The 25,995-nt window shown below is 43.1% G+C and overlaps 2 protein-coding genes across 14 annotated transcripts in view, besides 1 other annotated feature; one reads left to right on the top strand and one right to left on the bottom strand.

Moving 5' to 3' along the window:
* Positions 10,846 to 23,654, top strand: SERPINA10 (serpin family A member 10). Of its 4 annotated transcripts, XM_017021353.2 has the most exons (6): positions 10,846 to 10,925; positions 11,304 to 11,505; positions 13,471 to 14,238; positions 15,555 to 15,828; positions 17,856 to 18,006; positions 19,958 to 23,654. In XM_017021353.2, exons 2-6 carry the CDS (start codon positions 11,436 to 11,438, stop codon positions 20,147 to 20,149), a joined length of 1,455 nt encoding a protein of 484 aa, XP_016876842.1. In that variant the 5' UTR covers positions 10,846 to 10,925; positions 11,304 to 11,435; the 3' UTR covers positions 20,150 to 23,654. The 4 variants fall into 4 exon arrangements, with proteins under 4 accessions (XP_016876842.1, NP_001094077.1, XP_005267790.1 ...); NM_001100607.3 differs by lacking the exon at positions 11,304 to 11,505; XM_005267733.6 differs by lacking the exon at positions 11,304 to 11,505 and having other exon boundaries at positions 10,846 to 11,099.
* Positions 11,963 to 12,462: an enhancer, noted in NCBI's record as "H3K4me1 hESC enhancer chr14:94757989-94758488 (GRCh37/hg19 assembly coordinates)". NCBI's record gives its function as "activates a minimal SCP1, AML or CMV promoter by ChIP-STARR-seq in naive H9 embryonic stem cells {active_cell/tissue: H9 hESC(naive)}" and the evidence as "EXISTENCE:reporter gene assay evidence [ECO:0000049][PMID:30033119]".
* The window catches only part of PPP4R4 (protein phosphatase 4 regulatory subunit 4), a 105,413-nt gene continuing 103,797 nt past the window's right edge, over positions 24,380 to 25,995 (bottom strand). For all 10 annotated transcript variants that reach the window (NR_145441.2, NM_001348144.2, NM_001348143.2 and 7 more), the window contains one exon: positions 24,380 to 25,495. Coding sequence is in view for 9 of the 10 variants with exons in the window: in NM_001348144.2 (NP_001335073.1) it covers positions 25,471 to 25,495 (25 nt within the window). In the remaining variant the exon portion in view is untranslated. The remainder of the gene's footprint in view (positions 25,496 to 25,995) is intronic.

Raw genomic sequence — 25,995 nt, 5'->3', positions numbered from 1 at the left:
CAGAAATGCATTTTTCACAGTTCTGGAGGCTGGAAGTCTGAGATCAGAAGCCAGCCTTGTTGGGTTTTGGGGAAGGTCGCTTCCTGGTTCAGGGGTGGCATCTTCTGGCTGTGTCCTCACAAGGCAGAAAGAGCAGAGAAAGCTCTCTGGGGCCTCTTTTATAAGGGTCCTAATCGCATTCATGAGAGTTTTACCCATGACCTAATCACCTCCCAGAAGCTCTAACTCTAACACCATCAACTTTGGGATTTGGTTTTAATGTATCAATCTGGGGAGACACAAACATTCAGGTCATAACACCTGGTACTGCCACAGGAGGAGCAACTCCTCTGGCCAACAAACCCTCCCCTCTTCCCTAATAAAAGACAAACTTCAGCTGAACTAAATCTAAAGTATAAATGAGGAATGAATGATTCGCAAATCGGACAGCCTCCTCAGCTGTGAGACTCCAGTGCAGCCACGTGGTGGAAGAAGATTTACAGACAGAAAAAGGAAAGTGATGTACAGAAAACAGAAGAGAGGAACAGAAACAGCCGGATTGGTTATAGGTTGATGTTTGTCTTATTTGGCTACTTTTGATCAGCCAAAACTCGGTGACTGGCACAAGTGTAGGCTATGGTCTGTTCGTCCCTCTACTTGTTATAGTTCATGATGTACTGAGAAATCTTTAGGCCAAATTTAAAATATGTAAGGAGGCCGCATTAGGCTAAACTTGATTTAACAGCCCTGACAACTGCAGACGAATGTGGCATCTTTAATTTGTCATGGGTCTTAGGGGTCAGGGCGGTGCAGGGAGGTATGTGGGAAAGGGACAGAATCCCAGCCAGGTCCATGAGAGCTAAGATACTGAAGGTCTTTTAAGGTTTCTAGTCTTTAAAGTTTCCTGGGGCGGGGGGGGCGGGGCAGGGGTTGGACATTTCTGGGCCCCCACCAGAGCAGCTGACGCTGGAAGCCTGTTGTGGGTGAACAGTGGAGTCTTACTCTAGAAAGATAGGAGGAGACTCAGCAGATGTGTGTGATATGGTTTGGCTCTGTGTCCCCACCCAAATTTCATCTCAAATTATAATCCTCATATGTGGAGGGAGAAGCCTGTAATCCCCATGTGTCCAGGGAGGGAGGTGATTGGATCATGGGGGTAGTTTCCCCCATGCTGTTCTCATGATAGTGAGTTCTCATGAGATCTGATGGTTTTATAATTGTTTGACATTTCCTCCTGTACACACTGTCCCTCTCATCTGCTGCCAGTAAAATGTGTCTGCTTCCCCTTCCGCCATGATTGTAAGTTTCCTGAGGCCTCCCCAGCCATGTGGAACCATTAGTCAATTAAACCTCCTTTGTTTATAAATTACTTGGTCTTAGGTAGTATCTTCATGGCAGTGTGAAAAGAGAGTAACACAGAATCAGTTCCAACATTCATTGGTTTTCCTTTCTTATTGCAAAAGCAACATGCACTGAAGCAAAACCCCAGGTAGAGGCTGGGGTTGGGCCATCTTATGGCAGTTGCCCTAACACTGCGCTAATATGATACTACCCCCTACAGCGCCAGGAACACTGTTTCTGTTTGGTGAATGATTGAATTCGTCTTATTCATTTTTTCTTTTTTTTTTAGCTTTTTCTTTTCTTTTTTTTAATTATACTTCAAGTTCTAGGGTACATGTGCACAACATGCAGGTTTGTTACATATGTATACATGTGCCATGTTGGTGTGCTGCACCCATTAACTCGTCATTTACATTAGGTATATCTCCTAATGCTTTCCCTCCCCCCACCCCACAACAGGCCCCAGTGTGTGATGTTCCTCTTCCTGTGTCCAAGTGTTCTCATTGTTCAATTCCCACCTATGAGTGAGAACATGCGGTGTTTGTTTTTTTGTTCTTGTGATAGTTTGCTGAGAATGATGGTTTCCAGCTTCATCCATGTCCCTACAAAGGACACGAACTCATCCTTTTTTATGGCTGCATAGTATTCCATGGTATATATGTGCCACATTTTCTTAATCCAGTCTATCATTGATGGACATTTGGGTTGGTTCCAAGTCTTTGCTATTGTGAATAGTGCCGCAATAAACATAGTGTGCATGTGCCTTTATAGCAGCATGATTTACAGTCCTTTGGGTATATACCCAGTAATGGGATGGCTGGGTCAAATGGTATTGCTAGTTCTAGATCCTTGAGGAATCGCCACACTGTCTTCCACAATGGTTGAACTAGTTTACAGTCCCACCAACAGTGTACAAGTGTTCCTATTTCTCCACATCTTCTCCAGCACCTGTTGTTTCCTGACTTTTTAATGATTGCCATTCTAACTGGTGTGAGATGGTATCTCATTGTGGTTTTGATTTGCATTTCTCTGATGGCCAGTGATGATGAGCATTTTTTCATGTGTCTGTTGGCTGCATAAATGTCTTCTTTTGAGAAGTGTCTGTTCATATCTTTCGCCCACTTTTTGATGGGGTTGTTTGTTTTTTTCTTGTAAATTTGTTTGAGTTCTTTGTAGATTCTGGATATTAGCCCTTTGTCAGATGAGTAGATTGCAAAAATTTTCCCCCATTCTGTAGGTTGCCTGTTCACTCTGATGGTAGTTTCTTTTGCTGTGCAGAAGCTCTTTAGTTTAATTAGATCCCATTTGTCAATTTTGGCTTTTGTTGCCATTGCTTTTGGTGTTTTAGACATGAAGTCCTTGCCCATGCCTATGTCCTGAATGGTATTGCCTCGGTTTTCTTCTAGGGTTTGTATGGTTTTAGTTCTAACATTTAAGTCTTTAATCCATCTTGAATTAATTTTTGTATAAGGTGTAAGGAAGGGATCCAGTTTCAGCTTTCTATATATGGCTAGCCAGTTTTCCCAGCACCATTTATTAAATAGGGAATCCTTTCCCCATTTCTTGTTTTTGTCAGGTTTGTCAAAGATCAGATGGTTGTAGATGCGTCTTACTCATTTTTTTGTTTTTGTTTCTGTTTTTGTTTTTTTAGTATGCTTTTTACATCATTGACTTTTATAAGCTAACCAATACAGTTTTAAAATTTTCATTTTTAAACGAAAAGTGGCATTTCAGGCCAGGCACAGTGGTTCACACCTGTAATCCCAGCACTTTGGGAGGCCAAGGCAGGTGGATCAGTTGACGTCCGGAGTTTGAGACCAACCTAGCCAACATGGTGAAACCCCGTCTCTACTAAAAATACAAAAAATTAGCCACGCATGATGGCACACGCCTGTAGCCCCAGCTACTCAGCAGGCTGACGCATGAAAATTGCTTGAGCCCAGGAGCAGAGCTTGAAATGAGCTGAGATCACGCCACTGCACTCCAGCCTGGGCACCAGAATGAGACTTCTCTTAAAAAAAAAAAAAACGCATCTCAAATAAATGGGGCAAACAAACTGTGTTAAAACATTTATTTAAAATGTTTGGGGACAATCGGGTAGCCAGCTGAAAGACAGTGTAAATTAGAATCACTGTCATCCTTACACCAGGATCAATTCCTGATAGATCAAAGATTTATATAAAAAATTGAAATCCTAAAATAAAAAGTATATAATGAATGTTTTAAAAATAATCTCATAATGAGAAAGACTTATCTAAGAATGCTATAAATCCAGAAATGACTAAAGAAAAGATAGATACATTCAACCACACAAACATTTTTAAAAGTATAATCAAATTTAAAAGGCAAATAACAAAGTGCCAAAAATCTTGCCATTCATATCCTTAAATAGCTAATTTATTCTATAAGTCATAAAATTCTGGTTGACTGTAGGATAATGGTAGCTGCATGAATATTTCTTACACATCACCCCAACAAGCTATAAAATCAGCAGTAGTGCACATAAAACTACACATGACCTAAGCCCTCACCATTACATCACCACATGAAATTGGAGCCCCAGAAGGGGGCAGTTTAGGGGACAGGAAAATATTTTAAGAAATAATGGTTAAATTATTTTCTAAACATGATGAAAACTATAAATTCACAGTTCCAAGAAATTCAACAAGCCCAAAGCAGGAGAAAGAACACCAGCCAAGGTGCTCTTTTAATAATCAATAATTAAAAATCAATTTTAATAATCAAATTCCTTAAAACTAAAGATAAAGAGAAAATCTTAAAAGCAGCTAGAAAAAAGGATATATTACATACAGGGCACAAAGATCAAAATAAGGATTGATTTCTCATCAGAAATTATGCCAGCCAGCTGAAATGATACACAAAGAAAGGCATATTACCTCTGCCATATTTGTGCCCAACGCGTACAACCTAAAGTTGACATGTAAAATATCAGAAAATTCCAAATTGAAAGACGTTCTACAAAATATCTAGCCAGTATTCTTCAAAAGGTCATAGGTCAAGAAAGACAAAACCTGAGAAGCTGTGCCATACTCAAGGAGAATGAAGAAATGTGACAACCCAATGCAACATTGGGTTCCTGGATTGGACCCTGTACAAGAAAAAAGGATATTGGTAGGACAACTGAAAAAAAGCTTGAATAATGACAATATACAGAATCACTGCAATTTCCTGGTTTTGACCATTATACTATGTGATATGGTTTGGTTCTGTGTCCCCACCCAAATCTCATCTTAAATTGTACTCCCATAATTCCCACATGTTGTGGGAGGAACCTGGTGAGAGATAATTTGAATCACAGGGGCAGTTTCCTCCATACTGTTCCCATGATAGTGAATAAGTCTCACAAGATCTGACGGATTTATCAGGGGTTTCCGCTTTTGCATTTTCCTCATTTTCTCTTGCCACCACTATGTAAGAAGTGTCTTTCACCTCCCACCATGATTCTGAGGCCTCCCCAGTCATGTGGAACTGTAAGTCCAATTAAACCACTTTTTCTTCCCAGTCTCAGGTTTGTCTTTATCAGCAGCGTGAAAACAGACTAATGCAGTAAATTGGTACCAGTAGAGTGGTGCACTGCCTAAAAGATACCCAAAAATGTGGAAGCGACTTTGGAACTGGGTAACAGGCAAAGTTTCAACAGTTTGGAGGGTTCAGGAGAAGATAGGAAAATGTGGGAAAGTTTGGAACTTCCTAGAGACTTGTTGAATGGCTTTGACCAAAAGCTTGATAGCGATATGGACAATAAGGTCCAGGCTGAGGTGGTCTCATATCGAGATGAGGAACTTGTTGGGAACTGGAGCAAAGGTGACTCTTGTTATGTTTTAGCAAAGAGATTGGTGGCACTTTTCCCCTGCCCTAGAGATTTCTGGAACTTTGAACTTGAGAGAGATGATTTAGGGTACCTGGCAGAAGAAATTTCTAAGCAGCAAAGCACTCAAGATATGACTTGGGTGCTGTCAAAGCATTCAGTTTTATAAGGGAAGCAGAGCAAAAAAGTTTGGAAAATTTGCAGCCTGACAATGTGGTAGAAAAGAAAAACCCATTTTCCGAGGAGAAATTTAAGCTGGCTGCAGAAATTTGCGTAAGTAATGAGGAGCAGAATGTTAATCCCCAAGACAATGGGGAAAATGTCTCCAGGGCATGTCAGAGGTCTGCATGGCAGCCCCTCCCATCATAGGCCCAGAGGTCTAGGAGAAAATGGTTTTGTAGGCTGGGCTCATGGTCCCCGTACTGTGTGCAGCCTAGGGACGTGGTGCCCCGTGTCCTAGCCATTCCAGCCATGGCTGAAAGAAGCCAACGTCGAGTCAGGCCGTGGCTTCAGAGCGTGCAAGCCCCAAGCCTTGGCAGTTGCCACGTGGTAGAGCCTGCGAGTGCACAGAAGTCAAGAATTAGGGTTTGGGAACCTCCGCCTCAATTTCAGAACATGTACAGAAATGATTGGATGCCCAGGCAGAAGTTTGCTACAGGGGCGGGGTGCTCATGGAGAACCTCTGCTAGGGCAATGCAGAAGGAAAATGTGGGTTGGAGCCCCCATACAGAATCTCTATGGGGGCACTGCCTAGTGGAGCTGTGAGAAGACGGCCACCGTCCTCCAGACCCCTGAATGGTAGATCCACCGACAGCTTGCGCCATTTATCCGGAAAAGCCACAGACACTCAACGCCAGCCCGTGAAAGCAGCCAGGAGGGAGGCTGTACCCTGCAAAGCCACAGGGGCAGAGCTGCCCAAGACCAAGGGAAGCTACCTTTTGCATCAACGTGACCTGGACTCAAAGGAGATCATTTTGGAGCTTTAAAATTTGACTGACCTGCTGGATTTCAGACTTGCATGGGCCCTGTAACCACTTCGTTTAGGCCAATTTCTCCCATTTGGAACAGCCGTATTTACCCAATACCTGTAACCCCATTGTATCTAGGCAGTAACTAGCTTGCTTTTGATTTTACAGGCTCATAGGCAGAAGGGACTTGCCTTATCTCAGGTGAGACTTTGGATTGTGGACTTTTGGGTTAATGATGAAATGAGTTAAGACTTTGGGGGACTGTTGAGAAGGCATGATTGGTTTTGAAATGTGAGGACATGAGATTTGGCAGGGCCAGAGGCGGAATGATATGGTTTGGCTCTGTATCCCCACCCAAATCTCATCTTGAATTGTACTCCCATAATTCCCACATGTTGTGGGAAGGGACCCAGTGGGAGATAATTTGAATCATGGGGGTGGTTCCGCCATACTGTTCTTGTGATAGTGAATAAGTCTCACAAGATCTGATGCCTTTATTGGGGGTTTCTGCTTTTGCGTCTTCCTCATTTTCTCTTGCCGCCACCAGGTAAGCAGTGCCTTTTGCCTCCCACCATGATTCTGAGGCCTCCCCAGCCACGTGGAGCTGTAAGTGCATTTAAACCTCTTTCTCTTCCCAGTCTCGGGTATGTCTTTATCAGCGGCGTGAAAATGGACTAATACACTGTGGTTATGTATTATAGTCATATGATATTTTCATATTTTTGGAAGCTGGGTGAAGGGTAGATGTGGAGACCATGATTTTTGCAAATTTTTTTAAGTTTAAAGTTATTTCTAAATTAGAAGTTTAAAAAGAAGAAATCACATAAGCCATAACACAATAGAAAGATGTCTTTAAAGTTCAAGGCAGGAGGGATGTCTGGAAATCAGCGAGAAATTTGCACCTGTGTGTGCATGTGCATATGTGTGTGTGTATGTTGCAAGGACTTGGAAAGCCCTTTTTTTCCTACCTCTGTACTACTGTGGGGGGAGGCTAAACTTGACTTCTTCCCATCTTAGTTCTTTTTTGGGATAGACTCCTGTAACAAAAGACAGACAAGAGAAAAATCAGCTTACAACATGGGCCATGCACTTCACACAGGAGAAACCTGCATGAAAAGTAACTCAAAATGGTGCCTTAGAACTCCACTTACCTTTAGTAAAGAGCAATAAATTAGCAGGAAAATCATGGATCGGGACAAGGGAAGTGGTTTTATGCTTCCAAGGGCAGGAAATCATGGAAGGTAAATATATGGGAGGAAACTAAAGGAATAAGGCTTGTTTGCATATTCCTCTGATGCCATCTCTGGGTTGATAAGAGTCTAGAGTCATTTCCAGTAAAGATGAATTTTTATCTGTCTTTAGGAAGAAAGGGGGAAAGATAGAGAAAACTATTTCTCCATTTGCTGTTTCTTAATTACCTTCAGTTCAAAAATAATTTTTATATCAGAAAGGCATATTTAGAGGTATGTTAGTTTATTTTCACACTGCTAATAAAGACATACCCAAGACTGGGTAATTTATAAAGAAAAAGAGGTTTAATGGACTCACCGTTCCACATGGTTGGAGAGGCCTCACAATCAAGGCAGGTCTTACATGGCAGCAGGCAAGAGGGAGAATGAGAGCCAAGCGAAAGGAATTTCCCCTTAAAAATCCCCTTATAAAACCATCAGATCTCGTGAGACTTACTCACTACCACAAGAACAGTATGGGGGAAACCACCTCTATGATTCAATGATCTCCCACTGGGTACCCCCCAACAACACGTGGGAATTATGGGAGCTACAATTCAAGATAAGATTTGGGTGGGGACACAGACAGACCATATCAAGGGGTAACATAGTCTGGTTTCCTTTACTACCCACCTACCCAAACACCCCCTTCATCTGATCCACACAAAGTAAACTCTTGCAGTTCTCTCACTGTTTCCTGGAGTCTGCTTTTGGTCTCATAGGACTGCCCTAACGCTTGTTTTTCAGACGTTTAACCCTGTAGGTCTCTGGACAAATTTGCTTTAGAAGCCCCTCGATGTCGCCCTGAAGAGTGGCTTTCAGAAGTTGTGCCTCCTGCCTGAGGGGAGTTCCAGGAAGGGTTCTGCATCGCCTATGAGTTTATCTGGATCACCAGAGGCCTTCCCGTCAGAGCTTTCCCAATCGTTTTTGGCCAAGGAGTGTGAGAAGCTAAAGTTCATAACAACTGGAAGTCAGACAGCCTGGTCTATTCTGCTTTAACTCTAGCAGGAAAGGCCTTCATGGTGGGGCCTGAATATCTTCCTTTATAAAATCAAAGCCTGGGGACAGGGTTACTTACTTCTGAGGTTCAATCTGGCTCTAAAATTATGCAACAAATGCCATTCCTTTAGCACTTCCTTCCTACCGGGCGAGATACTCAACTCCACAGGCACCACCTCAGTTCATCCTCTCAGAAGTCCTAACAGCTCAGCCTGGGGCACCCCATTTTACAGATTAGTAAACTGAGGCTAAGAGAGGTTAGGTAGCTTGTTCAGGGTCATGCTGCTGGTAAAAGAGCTCAGGCTACAGTGCTATGCATTGAGTTTTCTCACTTTCCCATCTAACTGGAGGGCTAAAGGTCAAAGAGTGGGCAGCTCCCTTGTTGGGAGCTGTACAGGAATAATGTCCTCCCTGAAGGAGGGGGACTTCTGAGCCACACCCTGGGGTCCAGGGCTCACAGCCTTAGGAGCAAAATCGTCCACCCCCTTCCTGGTTCCTCGGTGCTGCAGAGATATTCATAGGACAGAGTCTGAGTTCTGGCCACTTAACAGAGGAAGAAAGGCTGGCTCGGTGAGGTTAACTTACATCCCAGCAGCTAGGAACCGGGAGCAGAGGACCTCAGATTCACACCAGGGCAGGAGGCAATGGCCTGGCTGAAGCCTTCACAATCTTCCCAATATACTCCGCTGCCTTCCTTTATAAGGATCCATTTCTGAAACCCTGTGCCCTGGCCAGGCACGGTGGCTCACACCTGTAATTCCAGTACTTTGGGAGGCCAAGGCAGGAGGACCACGAGGTCAGGAGTTTGAGACCAGCCTGGCCAATATGGTGAAACCCCGTCTCTACTAAAAATAGAAAAATTAGCGTGGTGGCAGGCGCCTGTAATCCCAGCTACTCGGGAGGCTGAGGCAGGAGAACTGTTTGAACCTGGGAGGTGGAGGTCTCAGTGAGCTGAGACAGACAGTGCCTGGGTGACAGACAGAGACTCCGTCTCAAAAAAAAAAAAAAAAAGAAAGAAACCCTGTGCCCTAAGACCTGCACACTCGCTGGCTCCGCTCAGACATTTAGCAAAGCAGACACCTTCCCAGGCCTGGAGGAAACAGCCCCTGCTTTTTGGGAATCCACAAGCCCGCAGCTGCAGAGCTCGACCTGGATGGGCAGGCAAAGGCTGACTCCTGTGCGTGGTGTGAGTCCAGCCTGGCCCCTCTACACCCTCACTTTCACCTCTTAAAGAACTGCCTATTAACAGAGCAGGTACTGCCCAAAAGGAACACTCTGGAAACTTGTTGGGACACTTCTGCCTTTCACAAACGTTTGGGGGGAGTACTACTAGCATTTAAGGATTGAGGGTTAGCAATGCCAGACATACCAGAACACGCAGGGCAGTCTCCCATGATGAAGAGGCCGCCGGGTTCCCCAGGACTCACATGTCCACCTCAAGTTCACGTGGGATTATCTGAGCCTAGACTGTCAGTCCTGGGGCTGCTTTATTTCATATAAAAATATAATATTTATCCAAGGTTTTACTACACACTGCATTTTCTGTGAAGACAATGACCGTGTAAATCAGGGAAAGATCTATATTTTATTTTGTTTGAAACTTTACCAAGCATTATTTACCATTTCAAAAGCTCTATCCCTGGTAGTACCATTGGTTTTCTTGTTCACCGGCCAGCAGTGAGCAGCACACAAGCGACCTCCCGTGGGCTCCACATTGGACAGCCTCACTGCACCTGCCCAGGCCCTTAGGCCACAGCACTGCCATATTCAGGGACACATTATTCTCTTTTATTATGCCTCCATATTATCATTACAGCATTATCTTTTTTTTAATTTTGTGGGTAGATTATATTAGCTATACGTTTCACTTCAATGGTAGTAGTAAGGGGCACATAACAAAATATTTACTTATATATATTAAAAAAGAGAGTCTGAGAAGTCTGAAAAGTTTTGCCATAAACGGTCTCCACCAGCCTCAACTCTGAGTGCCCGAGGATTCAGTCTCAAGTCCAGCAACATTGTGAAGCAGGAAATTTACCTTGAAAGGAGCTATGTACTCTAAGTAGTGATTTACCTGTCTGCCTCCCCCACTGGATTGACCAGTTCCTTGGGGGCTGAGAGAACAGGTCCTGAACATTTCTGCTGTGCCCCCCAACCCACATCCTCATAGTGTCCAGTACCAGGCTGGGGACTCAGGAAGCATCCATGGGATCCCCCAGTGCCTTCTTTCTCGAGGTGTTCAGCACCTAGAACAGCTCAAGACAAATTCCCCACACCCCACCCAGACAGAGCTGAATCTTACTGGGGCGAAGCCTTGAGTTGCAAGGCAGAAGCTCTCGTGATGGGATTTGGGTCATATTCCGGGTTATAGGAGGAGCTGGGGAGTATGGGAAGCCTCCCACTTGGTCTTTGGTTTTCCAGAAACTCCACCATCACAAGCAGGATGTTAATCAGTAACCGTCCCACAGGGGATCATACTTTGGAATAGCAAATATTTGCTGAAGGTTCTGGGCTGCAAAGCTGAAGCTTTGGTTTCTGCTCTAAATGAAGGACTTTTCCAGGACCCAAGGCCACACACTGGTAAGAGGCAGTGGGTTACAGGAGACCTTCAATGAGTCTAATCAGGGAGGGACCGGGAAGGATGGTATCATCCCTGGGCGGGCTCCAACGTGAGGGCTGTGTGGCTGAGCAGTGCAAAGACCTCCATCCTACACTCCACAGGGACTGTACATACAGATTGGGAGCTGGAGTGGGGTAAGAGGCGAATTATAGACACAAGGGGCTCCTCTGCAGGAAGGAGGCCAAGGGAAAGAGGCTTGAAAGGCTTGATATTTCACCCACCACCACTCACTGCCGGAGTAAGCAGGTCTCCCCTTCCCAGGGCTGAGGGGAGGCAGGGATGTGTGCTGTCCCAGGGCTGAGAAGTGGCAGGTGAGCTGGTGATTCCTTACTGCCCAGGTTCTGTCTAGGAAGGTGCGTCCTCACCATGCTGGATGGTGTCCTAGTCCAGGAGCACCCCCTGAGCTCCTGGCCTAGACTCCAAAGGGTTGGGTAGATGAGCAAAGACTTTACAAAGACCTTAGGCGATATATGTCCAGGAGCACCCAGGAATTACTGGGCTACCACTGCAGACTGCAGGACAAGCTCCAAGAACAGGAAGGTAAGACTCAGCATTTGGAGGTGGTGACATCTAGTTGGCGTGCTGGGCTAATTTCCTGACCATTGTACAGGGAGAAGTAACCTTGAATTCAGGAGTATTCTGTGTGGTCTTAATGTAGAAAGTAGCACTAAATGATGCCACGTAATCGTTTTAGCTCAGGCTCCTCTAACAAAACACCACAGGCTGGGTGGCTCCAACAGCCATTGATTTTTCACAGTTTTGGAGGCTGAAAGTCCGAGTCAGGGTGCCAGCGTGGCCGGATTCTGGTAGGGCTGTCTTCTTGGCTTGCAGATGGCCACCTTCGCACCGTGTCCTCCCATGGAGAGGAGGTGCGGAGGGGGACTCTGCTCTCTTCTTATGACAGCACTAGTGCTATCACAGGGGCCTTGCCCTCACGACCTCATCTAAACCTAATCACCTCCCAAGCGCCCCAACTCTATTGCCATCACAATGGTGGTTCGGGCTTCAACTTATTAATTCTCAGGGGACACATTCAGTCCATAACAATAAAAGCGTGAAACTGGGCTGCGTTTACACTGAAAGAGCTATTTACCCAACGTTTACAATACTTGGGTGACCTGTTGAATGCAGGCTTGCCATTTAGAGTCAAAAAGAGCTTCCTCAACAGTGTCCTTTGGGAAACACAGTGGAAGTATTTCACTGCTTCTACAGGGGAGAGGGTAGTGCCGTTCAGACTGCAGAGTGAGGCCCTGAATTCCGGGGTGCCATTCAGCCCGAGCAAGGGGCAACATGCTGGGCCCTGGCGCTGGAGGCGGTTTTGTCCCAGGCATAGATAAGGACTCAGCCCCTGCATCAGGAAGAGGCCTGGCAGCACCGCCTGTCAATACATTTTGCCGCAGGTGACCTTGGTCAAGAATAAGGGTCTCTGCTGATGGGAACTACTGTGAGGCCGGCAGCATCCACCCTGCGCTCACTGGGCTGGGTGGCCTACCCCACCCAGACCCTCCCAGGGCAGTGGGCCCAGAGAGAGGATGAGGGAGGGCAGGTGTCCCAGGGGTTCTGCCCAGCCAGCCTCTGGGATCAGGCCTGCAGTGTGGCTGAACACCAGAACTGAGTTTGGACACAGCCAGGTGGCCCAGGCCAGTCCCAAGCCATGTATTTGGATGGAAAACATGGAAGTATTCAGGAGCCAGGCTCTGTGTCCAAGGATGTGGAGGGAGCCTAAAAGGCGACAGAGAAGGGGACAGCTAACGGTGAAGAAGTGTAGCTCCCACACTGCAGCCTAGGACAGTGAGAACCGGCATGCAGCCCAGGTGGCTGAGGGCTCTATGAAGCCACAGTGGAGGGAGCCCAGAAGTGGGTTGTATGAATTGCGGGGCCTCCTGCTACCCGGGAGCTGCAGCTATAGGAAGGAAGGAAGGAAGGAAGACCTCCAAGGAACTGTGTAGCAGAGGTGCAGTGCAAAGAGAATTTTGATAAAAAATCCAGGAAAGCTCCAATACTTTCCCCCTTCCTTGCCTAACGGGCATGCAGGCACTCCAATCCCCAGCCAAACAGGGCACTGGGCAAGGCCGGCCACCCATCTGGATGGGCAGCCTGACGACCAGATGGTCAGGGCAGTGAATGAAGCAGATCAAGGAAAGGTGTGTGAGGACCCCTGATTCCACCTGCTTGGACCCCCACCTTCTGTGCTGCCTCCTGCTCCCAGAGTGGACTCTCTTGCCCTGGCCCTCAGGGAGGAGACGGGATGAATGAAAACGGGGTCAGGACTGAGAGCTGCCTGCCGGCCTGGCAGGGAATGGGAACTGGAGGAGGTTTTGCTCTGTGAAATAATGTCCCCTCTTTGGGTGAGCAAATGTCACCCACACTTGCTCTAGGTCTCCCTGGGGCAGGGCTAACCTACTTGAGCCACAGGAAGGAGGCAGGGTCCCTGAAGAAGCTTTTACTATCCACAAAGACATTTTAGGAGGCATTAAAACCATCTCTATCCTCTCCTCTCCACAGGAAGTCTTGCAGCTGAAGGGAGGCACTCCTTGGCCTCCGCAGCCGATCACATGAAGGTGGTGCCAAGTCTCCTGCTCTCCGTCCTCCTGGCACAGGTGTGGCTGGTACCCGGCTTGGCCCCCAGTCCTCAGTCGCCAGAGACCCCAGCCCCTCAGAACCAGACCAGCAGGGTAGTGCAGGCTCCCAAGGAGGAAGAGGAAGATGAGCAGGAGGCCAGCGAGGAGAAGGCCAGTGAGGAAGAGAAAGCCTGGCTGATGGCCAGCAGGCAGCAGCTTGCCAAGGAGACTTCAAACTTCGGATTCAGCCTGCTGCGAAAGATCTCCATGAGGCACGATGGCAACATGGTCTTCTCTCCATTTGGCATGTCCTTGGCCATGACAGGCTTGATGCTGGGGGCCACAGGGCCGACTGAAACCCAGATCAAGAGAGGGCTCCACTTGCAGGCCCTGAAGCCCACCAAGCCCGGGCTCCTGCCTTCCCTCTTTAAGGGACTCAGAGAGACCCTCTCCCGCAACCTGGAACTGGGCCTCACACAGGGGAGTTTTGCCTTCATCCACAAGGATTTTGATGTCAAAGAGACTTTCTTCAATTTATCCAAGAGGTATTTTGATACAGAGTGCGTGCCTATGAATTTTCGCAATGCCTCACAGGCCAAAAGGCTCATGAATCATTACATTAACAAAGAGACTCGGGGGAAAATTCCCAAACTGTTTGATGAGATTAATCCTGAAACCAAATTAATTCTTGTGGATTACATCTTGTTCAAAGGTACTTTGATAATGTTCTGCTCTCCCAAGGCCACAGGGCCCTACGATTGTCTCTCCCTTTCCTTTCGTTAGGCCAGCATATGATTAACGCTACGTGATTTTCTATGAATGTGTTTTCACGTTTCAAAAACAGATTGATACACATATTGAACAGTGCCAGACGCTGTCATTTGAGGCCCTTCCCTGGTATCCTATGTGCTTGTAGTCCTTATTATTTTCAGAGCACTCTACATAGCTCCCCTCTGACACTTAGAAGCATAGGGTCTTTCCAAAAAACAGGGGGCTGGGGGATTATCTGGGGGATTTAGGATTGCATCATTGCTCCTTCATTTTTACTTTTTGACCAACTCTCTGCCCTTAGATTCCTATTATAGAAAATAGGGACACTCCACCTACTACAGTGTTAGAGGCTAAATGAGACAATGAATGTAAAGTGCCCAGATGGGCTTGGCACATAGCAGACACTGAGTATCTATTGTTTACTTGTTCTTCCAAACTGCCAATCAGCAGGTAGAGCAGGAGTTGTCTCCTTTCTAAAGATGAAACCAGCTCAGAGACGTTAGCTTGATCAAGGTCACACAGTAAGTGGCAGAGGCAAAACCCAAACAAGGGCCTCCTGACCCCCTGATCCTAGGTTCTGTCCAGCCCTGCCTCCCTAATGGGGCACTGGACGTGGGTTGGATGCCACTTTCGCAGAGCTGGCACCAGACTTACAAAGCCCCGGCAGGGGAAGCCACTTTACAACCAGCCAGGCCACACCCCCAGGGCAGACGTTTATGTAGAGAGTAATGTACCTGCCTGCTAGTAGCCTCTGCATTGTGGGGCCTTCTCTCAGAACCACACTAAACAGTGGGTGGGTGAGAAGTGTCACTCCTGCCACCTTGGACTCTGCATGTGCTTGTGCCTGGTGTGAATGAGACAAAGTGGCAGTCAGAGGTGCCAGGCAAAGGCTTTTCTCTAAGCTGGAGCCAACTATGAGGGAACGACTGTGAATTCCGTTCAGGTCCAGGACAATGAGAGGAGCCAGGGATTGTTAGGAAACATTTCCCTGCTTTCGTGTGCGATTCCCAATAGGGCCTGCGAGTGGAGCTGCATTTTGCTAGCTGGGCTAGAGGACGGGGAAAATTTTGGGGAAATTTATTTTGCCTGCCTGAGCTGTGGAAAAGCCAACCCAATTAGGGAACGCCTTTCCTAGTTGGAACGAGAAGACGAGAAGTGAGAGAAGTGAGATAGAAGGCTCCCTCTCTATTATTTGAGCAAGAACAATGCTTTTCAAAGAGGGAATTTCTGCAATGAGTTCTTCTCTTACTTGTTCAGGGAAATGGTTGACCCCATTTGACCCTGTCTTCACCGAAGTCGACACTTTCCACCTGGACAAGTACAAGACCATTAAGGTGCCCATGATGTACGGTGCAGGCAAGTTTGCCTCCACCTTTGACAAGAATTTTCGTTGTCATGTCCTCAAACTGCCCTACCAAGGAAATGCCACCATGCTGGTGGTCCTCATGGAGAAAATGGGTGACCACCTCGCCCTTGAAGACTACCTGACCACAGACTTGGTGGAGACATGGCTCAGAAACATGAAAACCAGGTACAACTCTTGCCCACACCCTATACAAACTCTACCTTTCTGTACTGGCAAACGCTCAGCACAATTTCATTGAATGCACCGTGATTTAATGTCTCCTCCAGTGAGCTATAAGTTTCCTGAAGGCAGGGCAGCATTTGTCTTTTTTTCCACTCTATCCCCAGCATCTGTCACAGGGTGCCTGGCTGATTCATTCATTGAGTCCATCAGTATTTTACGTTCTGCGACTGTGATAAATATATGATGCCAGGGATCCATCAGCAAACAAAACAGGCAAAATTAGTCTGCCCTCATGCAGCTTACATTCTATTGAAGGAAGACAAAGAGTAAATTAAAAATAGGTAATAATGCAGGGAAGGGGACAAGAAGCATCATCAGGATGCAGATGGAGGTTAGACAAGGCCTCTCCAAGAAGGTAACAGTAAGCAAACATCTGAAGATGAAGGATAAACCATGTGGATATATTCGGGGAGAGAAGTGTTATGTTACAGGCAGAAGTGTACAAGTTCTGGGATGGGAGTGTACCTGGTGGGTTTGAAGAACATCAAGGAGACAAGTGTGGCTTCAGCAGTTGGAGATAAAATCAGAGAGGAAACAGGGGCCCAGTCCCCAGAAAAGACTTGGGCTTTCCTGAGAGAGGCAGGAAGCCACTGGATGGTTCTGAGTAGAGGAGCAACCTGATTTTGACTTCTGTTTTTAAAGGATCACATAAGCTCCTGTGTTGAGAAAAGACACTAGGGGGTAAGGATGGAAGCAAGGGAGAGTGGTTAGAAAGTTACTAGCAATCCAGGTAGAGATGCTGCTACCTGGACTGCGGTGGTGGTAGTGGAAGTGGTGAGAAGTGGCTGGATTCTGGATCTATTAGGAAGTGCAGGATCTGCTAATCGATTGGATGTGGGTGAGAGAGGTGTCAAAGGTGATCACAAAGTTTTTGGCCTTAGCAACTGGAAAGACGGATTTGCCATTTACTGAAAGGGGGAGGAACAGGTCTGGGGTAAGTGCAGAAGTTCAGTCTTAAACACTTGGATCAGAAATATCTATTAGACATCCAAGTTGAGATGTCAAGACGACAGGTGGATCTGGAGTCTAGGGTGAGGTCCAGGCCGGAGATATAAATTCGGTCATCAACACAGAACTAGAATCTAGACACATGACAGGGTTGGGGTCTGTAAATATAGAGGAGAGGAAAAGAAAGCACAGAGTGGGCACTGAAATGTCTGCCCAATAAATTAATCCACCTATTGGAGTACAAGGAAAATGGCTGCAATACGAATTCCATGGCTATGGCTTCTGAATCCTGTGACTCAGATTTTGGCAGACAAGTGCAGCTAAAGGTCCCCAGGGTTAGTTTTATCTTCATTATTCTTCTTTCATTTTTCTTCATATCTTTAGCACCTAACAATGAACCCCAAACATCATAAGCCCTCAAGTAATGTTTGCTGAATGAATAACTTTTTAAATTAATCTTCAAGACACGTCATGTCCTCAATTATTTTTAAATAAATAAAAAAATTTTATTTTGAGCCACAGAACTCATCTTTTCAAGCAACATATTTTCAAAGGAGGACTCCAGTATACAAAATAGATGGTATCAGAGCTTCTCTGGCTAAAGACGGGTAGGGGTTGAAAGTTTTCTTTGCTCCCCTCCCCATCCATCCCCAGACTCCTCGGGTCTGCAGAATCCAGGAGCTGAAAACAGCCATCATCCAGGAGGCTGCAGGACTGCTGAAAGCAGCTGTTAACTCAGGTTTTTTTTAAAATATAGGGAAATGAACACATAAGTACTTTGCTAAAGAAAACGTGAGTCACTGGCTGAGGAATAAAACTCATTCACTGAAGCTGAAGTACTATTTGATAAGCTAGAAATATTTTCCCTGAGTAGACCACTGTAAAAGAATGGCATGAACTACATAGTCAACTGAAAGACTCATTAATGGAAATAATCTTAAAGAACAAAAATTGTGACCTTTTTGGTGTCCACAGACTAGGGCTTTGTCTACATTTCACCATCATCTGTTCTTGTACCACAGAAACATGGAAGTTTTCTTTCCGAAGTTCAAGCTAGATCAGAAGTATGAGATGCATGAGCTGCTTAGGCAGATGGGAATCAGAAGAATCTTCTCACCCTTTGCTGACCTTAGTGAACTCTCAGCTACTGGAAGAAATCTCCAAGTATCCAGGGTAAGTCAGGATCTTTCATCAGAGCCCAACCTCAGCATGAAATGTCACCAAAACAAATGCTTTTACAAACCATTTAACTTTGATAAAATACCTAATTGTAGTGGAAAATTAGATTTAAGTCCCAAATACTTGAAATAGCACCCAGGTTGGATGTTTTAAGAATTTCAAGCAACTTCATTAAAATAACTTTTCAACTAATTTATTTTAAGCAGACCTCTCCCCCTCTGCTTAAAGTGCTCAGGGAGAAATTTGACCCTGAAATAGAACTGGTTTACAGAGGCATCATCATTTATGTTGAATACAACTTGAATAGTTCATGAAATTACACCACCTTTACAATGAAACAAACCCCTAGACATCATCTAGCCCAACTTCTCCCTCCTTGTGGAAATCCCCTCCATAGCCCTACGAAATAGCCCTCCAACTTCTCTTCCTCTTCATGCTTCCAGTGACATCAAACTCACCATTTCTTTGAAGAGCTGCCCAATCCACAAATAGCTAAAATTGTTATATGTATATATATATATGTGTGTATATATATGTATATATGTATGTGTGTATAAATGTATATGTGTGTATATGTGTGTGTGTATATATATATACACACACATATATATATATATGGAGAGAGACATACATATATATATGGAGAGAGAGAGAGAGAGAGTCCTGTAACTTCTGATTCATACTTTTTGGTCCTAGTTCTATCTCTAAAACTTCTAAGAACAAGTTTAGTCACCATCCACATAGAATCCCTTCAGTTACTCAGTGTTTCTCAGTGGAAGGGTTCTTGGTTTTGAGGGGAACTGCTTGTTGTCCAGAGCAGTTGTGCATGTTGCAGGGAACTGGTTAGCATTGCTGGCCCATGTTCACTAATGCCAGTAGGAAACTCCAGTCATCACTATAAAAATGCTCCCACACATTTCCAAATGGCAGCTACATCTCTCTACATTCTTCCTTAGCTGTGTGGTTTAATATTTTCTTATACAATTGCAATTTTCAATTCCAAGAGAGACTAAAAATGGCATCCACTTAAGTAGGACACAGTAGGGTAACTGTGGCCTGGAATCAGGTCTTACAACCTCAAGAGAGGTAAGACAATTAAATAAAACAATCCGTCAGACCAGCACCTGAAAGTGTTTCTGCTATGAACACATGAAAAACTGAAATGCGCTGCTGCTTTATGAAGGGTCATCATGAAATTTAAACTGTAAATGATTAAATATTCTCCCTCTGTTTGCTCTGGGGAATTAATTTTCCTCTAGGAAATCAGGGAATTTCCTGGAGTGAAAATCAGTGTAATTACATGTTATGTTTTCATTATCTCTTATAACACAGTAATTATATAGGTACATCACTCATATCACATCTTGTTTCTGTAAAAAAGGGCCTCCCAAACATAGCAAGCAGCCACAGTATAGGCAGCCAGAATTCAGGAAGGCTCCAGGGACCCCTGGGCTTGGCCCAGAAAAATGCCTCAGAGTAGTACCAGGTGCTGGGAAGCTGCTACAGAAGACTAGCCATTCCCTGCCTCCACCTTGCCTGCCAAAAGGAAAGTCAGAGGACTCAAGGGATCCAGGGATCAAGGGATCCAGGCAGCTTGAAAACCTTTTAGGAGCACCAGCTCAGCTCAAGAATTAGTAGCATAAATTACATGCTCAATAAAGATTTGATGCATGAGTGCATCCTGAGTCCATGCCCGGAATGTGTTTCACATATTCCACAATACTTCACATTGGGTTCCTGAGGTCTCCTGGTATTGTTTAAGACTCCTGTGGCAGTCCCTGGTGCAACCCCAGACCACTCCTCTTAACGTAGATGGGCCTGCTCCACTAAATCCCAGGAGCATGACCCCATGGGTAGGACCACTGTGAAGAATTTCAAGGGGCTCATTTAATTCCTCCTTTGCACTGCCACACAAATGGTTTTTCACATTATTTCCTTTTTCCAGGTTTTACAAAGAACAGTGATTGAAGTTGATGAAAGGGGCACTGAGGCAGTGGCAGGAATCTTGTCAGAAATTACTGCTTATTCCATGCCTCCTGTCATCAAAGTGGACCGGCCATTTCATTTCATGATCTATGAAGAAACCTCTGGAATGCTTCTGTTTCTGGGCAGGGTGGTGAATCCGACTCTCCTATAATTCAGGACACGCATAAGCACTTCGTGCTGTAGTAGATGCTGAATCTGAGGTATCAAACACACACAGGATACCAGCAATGGATGGCAGGGGAGAGTGTTCCTTTTGTTCTTAACTAGTTTAGGGTGTTCTCAAATAAATACAGTAGTCCCCACTTATCTGAGGGGGATACATTCAAAGACCCCCAGCAGATGCCTGAAACGGTGGACAGTGCTGAACCTTATATATATTTTTTCCTACACATACATACCTATGATAAAGTTTAATTTATAAATTAGGCACAGTAAGAGATTAACAATAATAACAACATTAAGTAAAATGAGTTACTTGAATGCAAGCACTGCAATACCATAACAGTCAAACTGATTATAGAGAAGGCTACTAAGTGACTCATGGGCGAGGAGCATAGACAGTGTGGAGACATTGGGCAAGGGGAGAATTCACATCCTGGGTGGGACAGAGCAGGACAATGCAAGATTCCATCCCACTACTCAGAATGGCATGCTGCTTAAGACTTTTAGATTGTTTATTTCTGGAATTTTTCATTTAATGTTTTTGGACCATGGTTGACCATGGTTAACTGAGACTGCAGAAAGCAAAACCATGGATAAGGGAGGACTACTACAAAAGCATTAAATTGATACATATTTTTTAAGATGTTTGTGCAATCTGTCTGGTATTTTAAGCTTGTTTCTAAGAACCTTAGTTACTTGGCTAAAGACTAGCTGGGTAGAATATCTTTTCTCTGTTGCTCACATATTTTCATTTTTAAAAAGTTGCAGATGAGAACACTATGTCAAGATAAAGCCTTTGGGAGGAACACATGTAAACATTCTCCTTGAGTCATGTGCTTCTCTCTCTTTCCTTCTCTCTGGTGCAAAATAAGTGTTTTATTTTAATCTATTACGGAGTCATTTCTTGCTGACTGACATCAGAAGAAAATAGCTCTAACCAGTCCTGATCACAGCATCTGCTTCCATGGTGCATCAAATCGCTTGGCAGAGGCATTGGCTGAATCACAGATCATCTAGTTCAATACCTTCATTTTACAAAGGAAAGAAAGAGGGACCCAGAAACAGGTCCATATTCTTACTTTCATGGGCCCTAGGCACGTTTAACCTTGTAGACTCCTCCTTCCTTCATGAAGATATATATGTTCTATGGCTGCATTGGTAGAAAGATGAATATATTCGTCTTTCAAAGTTGCATATCTAGCTTCAAAGTTATATGTCTAGCATATGGCAATAAGCAAAACACCTTCATGGGCCCTTACAGTACTGTCAGCCTTGGGCACTGTGTCTTCTGCATCTAGTGGATAAGTCATACCTTATATACCAGTGGGAACAAAATACTTGTCCAAGGTCTTCCAGTGTGGCAATGGCAGAGTCAGAAGCCTACCTTTCCTGAGTCTAGTCTCCAAGCCCTTTTTACTCTTCCTTCCATCTAAAACATCTGATGGGGACCAGGTAAACAGCATGCACTACAGCTACCCATGGGGGTTAAACAGAATATAAGCATGAACTTTGTCCCAGGGTGAAAAGGAAAATCGTAAATATCCCTGATCTTCCTTAGGCAGTTATTTTCTGTCACAGAAACAGAAAAGACTATATTCAGAGAATCCTGAATAGAGCTGATTTACAGTGTGAACTATGTTAACTAAATGCCTAATTGGATTTCTGTCTGTCTGCTATCTAATGTTTAAAAAAACCTAAAATTCATTTATTGATTAGTTGTTTAATATAATTCAGAGTAATGTGAATAGGTAATAATATTAATATGCAGTCTAAATACTGACTTTTCATCATTCCATAACCTGGACTGATGAAAAGTCAGTATTTAGACTGCATATTAATAAAATAAAATTCATTCCTGTATTCATTCCAAGAGTACTAATTGACACTTATGAAGGGACAGGCAATTCTAGGCCCTAGAGGGCCAAAGACAGAGGACTAACTCTATCTGACATTCTTAAGTCACCTTGTTTGTGTTCAATTAGTCAGATTTGTTTGTGGAAAAATAGTAGAAAGAGGAATAAAGTAGCATCCAGTCCAATTTCCCACTTTTAAGAGATGAAATCTGGAAAAATAAGTCTGTGAGAGCACAATACTCACTGAAATCAATATGGCCAAACCCAGTAATAAAAAGGTACATTATTATTGAAGGATTCATATAGCATGCAGATAAAAAACTCCTGCCTTCTTCCCACCACATACACTGCAAAGCAACAACAGCATAATAATTGTATTTAATATACTACTCTTTAAGGTAGAAAATGGACCTATTCTATATTTTAAATATACTTTTTAATGTTCCCTCACATTTGCTTTAAGAAGTTCCTAAGACACTCAGTTTCAGATTTCCCAAGTACACAGGCATGACAGAAAAACGCAGACCAATAAAAAATGTAACTTACCTTACACAAATACATACACACAAATTCAGGGTTTCCAACCGAGCGGGGGAAATCTTAACATTGTAGAAGTCTTCACTATATATGTGTCGAGTTTTTGTTTTTGTTTTTGTTTTTGTTTTGAGACAGAGTCTTGCTCTGTCACCCAGGCTGGAGTGCAGTGGTGCGATCTCAGCTCACTGCAACCTCCACCTCCCGGGTTCGTGCCATTCTCCTGCCTCAGCCTCCCGAGTAGCTGGGACTACAGGCACCTGCCACCACGACCGGCTAATTTTTTGTATTTTAAGTAGAGATGGGGTTTCACTGTGTTAGTCAGGATGGTCTTGATCTCCTGACCTTGTGATCTGCCCGCCTCGGCCTCCCAAAGTGCTGGGATTACAGGCATGAGCCACCACGCCCGGCCAAGTGTCGAGTCTTAAAAATTGTTCCTACACAGACACACTCAACCACACGTTCTCACATATATATGCTGTAACAACTGAGAACAGGTTACTGACTTAATCTAATTCATTCTATCTTCATTGTAAAACTTCCACTCCAGCTGAAGAGCCTGTTTCATTTCAATTCAAAGATTTCTCATATATCCACTAATTGTATGGCAAAACTGACTCATCTCCAGACTAAGATATTCAAGCTCAGGAAGTCAAATAATAGAAATGATTTTTTAAATGTGTAAGAGGTTATAAAGAAAAACTTTATGTGCTCCTTATTTAACCTCTATTAAGTAAAATCCTTTATAGACCTATCTCCATTTCTGCAGTAAAAGTGAGCTCTACAGTTAGCTTGTAAGGCTAACTAGTGAAATTCCTGGACTTGTTCTTAAAAATGCAAGTTTTAGTAATTAACAAAATGATGATGAAGATGTCCCTTTTCCCTACAACTACAGATGGAGGGAGATTTTTCTTTGCCATACAACTAGCTTAAAGGATTAATTTGATAAGTTGTTAAACTGAGAACTTTCACAAAAGTATCCATCTTGTTTTTGATATAAATGGAGATACATGTAGTTATTCATAACTGTCAGTAATTTGCTGTTTATCCTGTTTCTATATATCTGTCCTTGAGAGTATAATTTTAATAAATATTTCAAAGATTTTAGGAAATGTCATGTTCTGTTAAAAAACTTCCAAAAGTAATTTTGATGAACAGTTTTGATAACTTAGTACTAACTAGGACTAAGACTGCAATTGACTGCTCTACATTCCTGAACTTTATAAGCAGTAGTTGTTTCTCTCTGTCAAATCAGTGTCCCCTTTTCCCATTTGCATCATGGGAAAGTGAAACCTTATAATTCTGCTAAATTTATTATAACAAATACATTGAAATTCTCCATTTTATTAAATTAATAGAATGTTATGAATCAAAGCACCAAAAAAACTGATGCAATTTTGATGTCTCGTTCTGTACCACATTCTCCAGATCTTAATATATTCAGTTCCACATTATTGGTGCTAGTAGGAGACATAATGAAAACAGTTAAATGAAATCCACAGCGAGTATACTGATTAACCAGTACTGTCAAATTTCTCATACCTATTGAATTTTAACTACTGACAAAATGAGCAGTAACAATTCCATTTACCTGATTGTCCTTTGGCAAAGGATATTATTAAGAATCACTAAAAATAGCCATAAAGAAGCCATATGGAAGGAAGAAGGAAAACAAATGGCATGAAAAGGTCTCTCACTGAGTAACTATGCTCTTATAGTTGACGCTGGTATATTTCTTTTATTCACTACCTAAAAATGAACTATCTTACTCTTTAATTATAGAATAAAAACTGCAGGAAAGTATTTAAGACTTTTTTTCACAAACACAGGTATCTCATTAACCTATGTTTTATTTTGAGTAAATTCATTATTCATTATTTCACATTATAAAAAGTAACCACACATACATATGCATTCACAAATTAGATCATCTTTATCATACATCAATATATTTTAAAAAACAAATATCTTCTAATATCAATATAGTTATATGCTGATTGCATTTTGAAATAGAGAAGCTGACAATAGCTTCACACGGTATATCTCAAGAACTGACAGTTTAAAATTAAGAACTGTATATATTCCACAGGCAAATTTTGATGGAAATATTAGCATTAGTACAAATAAATGCTGTTGACATAGCTTAAGCATGATAGCTTGGAATAACAGCTGATTCAGACTAGATTCATCATTTTAAATAAAGACAAGTACAATCTAAAATGTAAACAAAGTATTTATAAAATAAATTCTCTAGGAAATAAAGAAAATCATCAATCTATTATTTTTAAGGTATTTATAGCTCAAAGTTACCAGAAATCTTTGTGGAATTTTCACTGCCAAATTTAAATTTGGGAATGTCCGGGTACAACATATTGTCACCACAATCCGGAGGGCCGCCAAAATCGCAGACGGCTATTTGCATCCTTTCAGTGTGACTTTTCAAGTGGGCTTGGAGACTCATGAGAAAATGCAGTATCTTTCTCACCTTCCAAGTCCCCCTCCAAGTGCTTATCAAGCTAGGACAATTCAGCTGATGTAGACTTTCATACGATTTTTAAATGCTAAAACTCTAGAACAATTAAATGGCTGGTTTCCTGCACAAATAAATGCAGACTTGTCTCTTTTGCAGCAGTGGTTAAAGCACATTCCTAGAGATGTTTTTCATTACACTTCACTATAACATTGGAATTCCGTAACCACATTATTACTCAAGAAATATATATTATACCTCCTAGGGAATCTAATTTGAAATATGAAAAGTTTAACATCAGCTGTCATTATGTCTCTCTTTCTGCTCATTAACAACAACAAAAAAAAAAACCCAAAATTTAAAAACAAAGCCCCAGCCACTGCTTTAGCTTTTGTGTACCAATCACATTATCTCCTGCTGCCTTTGTTTTGCCTCCTTCATCAAGCAGTTGATTTAAGGATTGGATTTTCTGGATTTTCTTTGGGAAGAAAGAAATGAAGGAAGAGAGGGAGGGTGGGGAAGGAGGGAGTGAGAAAGGGAGAAAAAGAAAAAAATATGAAAAATGTTATTCATATAATGTGTACAAAGTAAATTAAAAATATATAGATACTCTACTTTGAATAATTCTAATATATGAGAAGTCTGATTAAGGGAAAAAATGAATTACACATTAAAGATTACTTGGAATGATCTTTAATTACCAAAAATTCTGTGTATATATATAACATAGCATTCAATTTAATTCATATTTTTCCTACATTTTTAATTTTGTATAACCATAATGGAAGTTACATAGGCATAAATATATGAACTGCCTTAAAAGACAAGATATAATAACATACCTATGCTTCCTTTAAGACACTAATATTCCTAAATACCAAATGTGTCATCTCAATGACACTGAAAAGCTGGGGAATGTATTGCATAGAATTTGAGAAGCAAAAATTAAGATAAATTATACTTTCCAAAATCACCTCA

This window comes from Homo sapiens, chromosome 14 (genome assembly GCF_000001405.40).
Source record: "Homo sapiens chromosome 14, GRCh38.p14 Primary Assembly".
Taxonomy (NCBI): Eukaryota; Metazoa; Chordata; class Mammalia; order Primates; family Hominidae; genus Homo; species Homo sapiens.
Note: the sequence above shows the minus strand (reverse complement) of the source record. Positions and strands in the feature narration are given on the sequence as shown.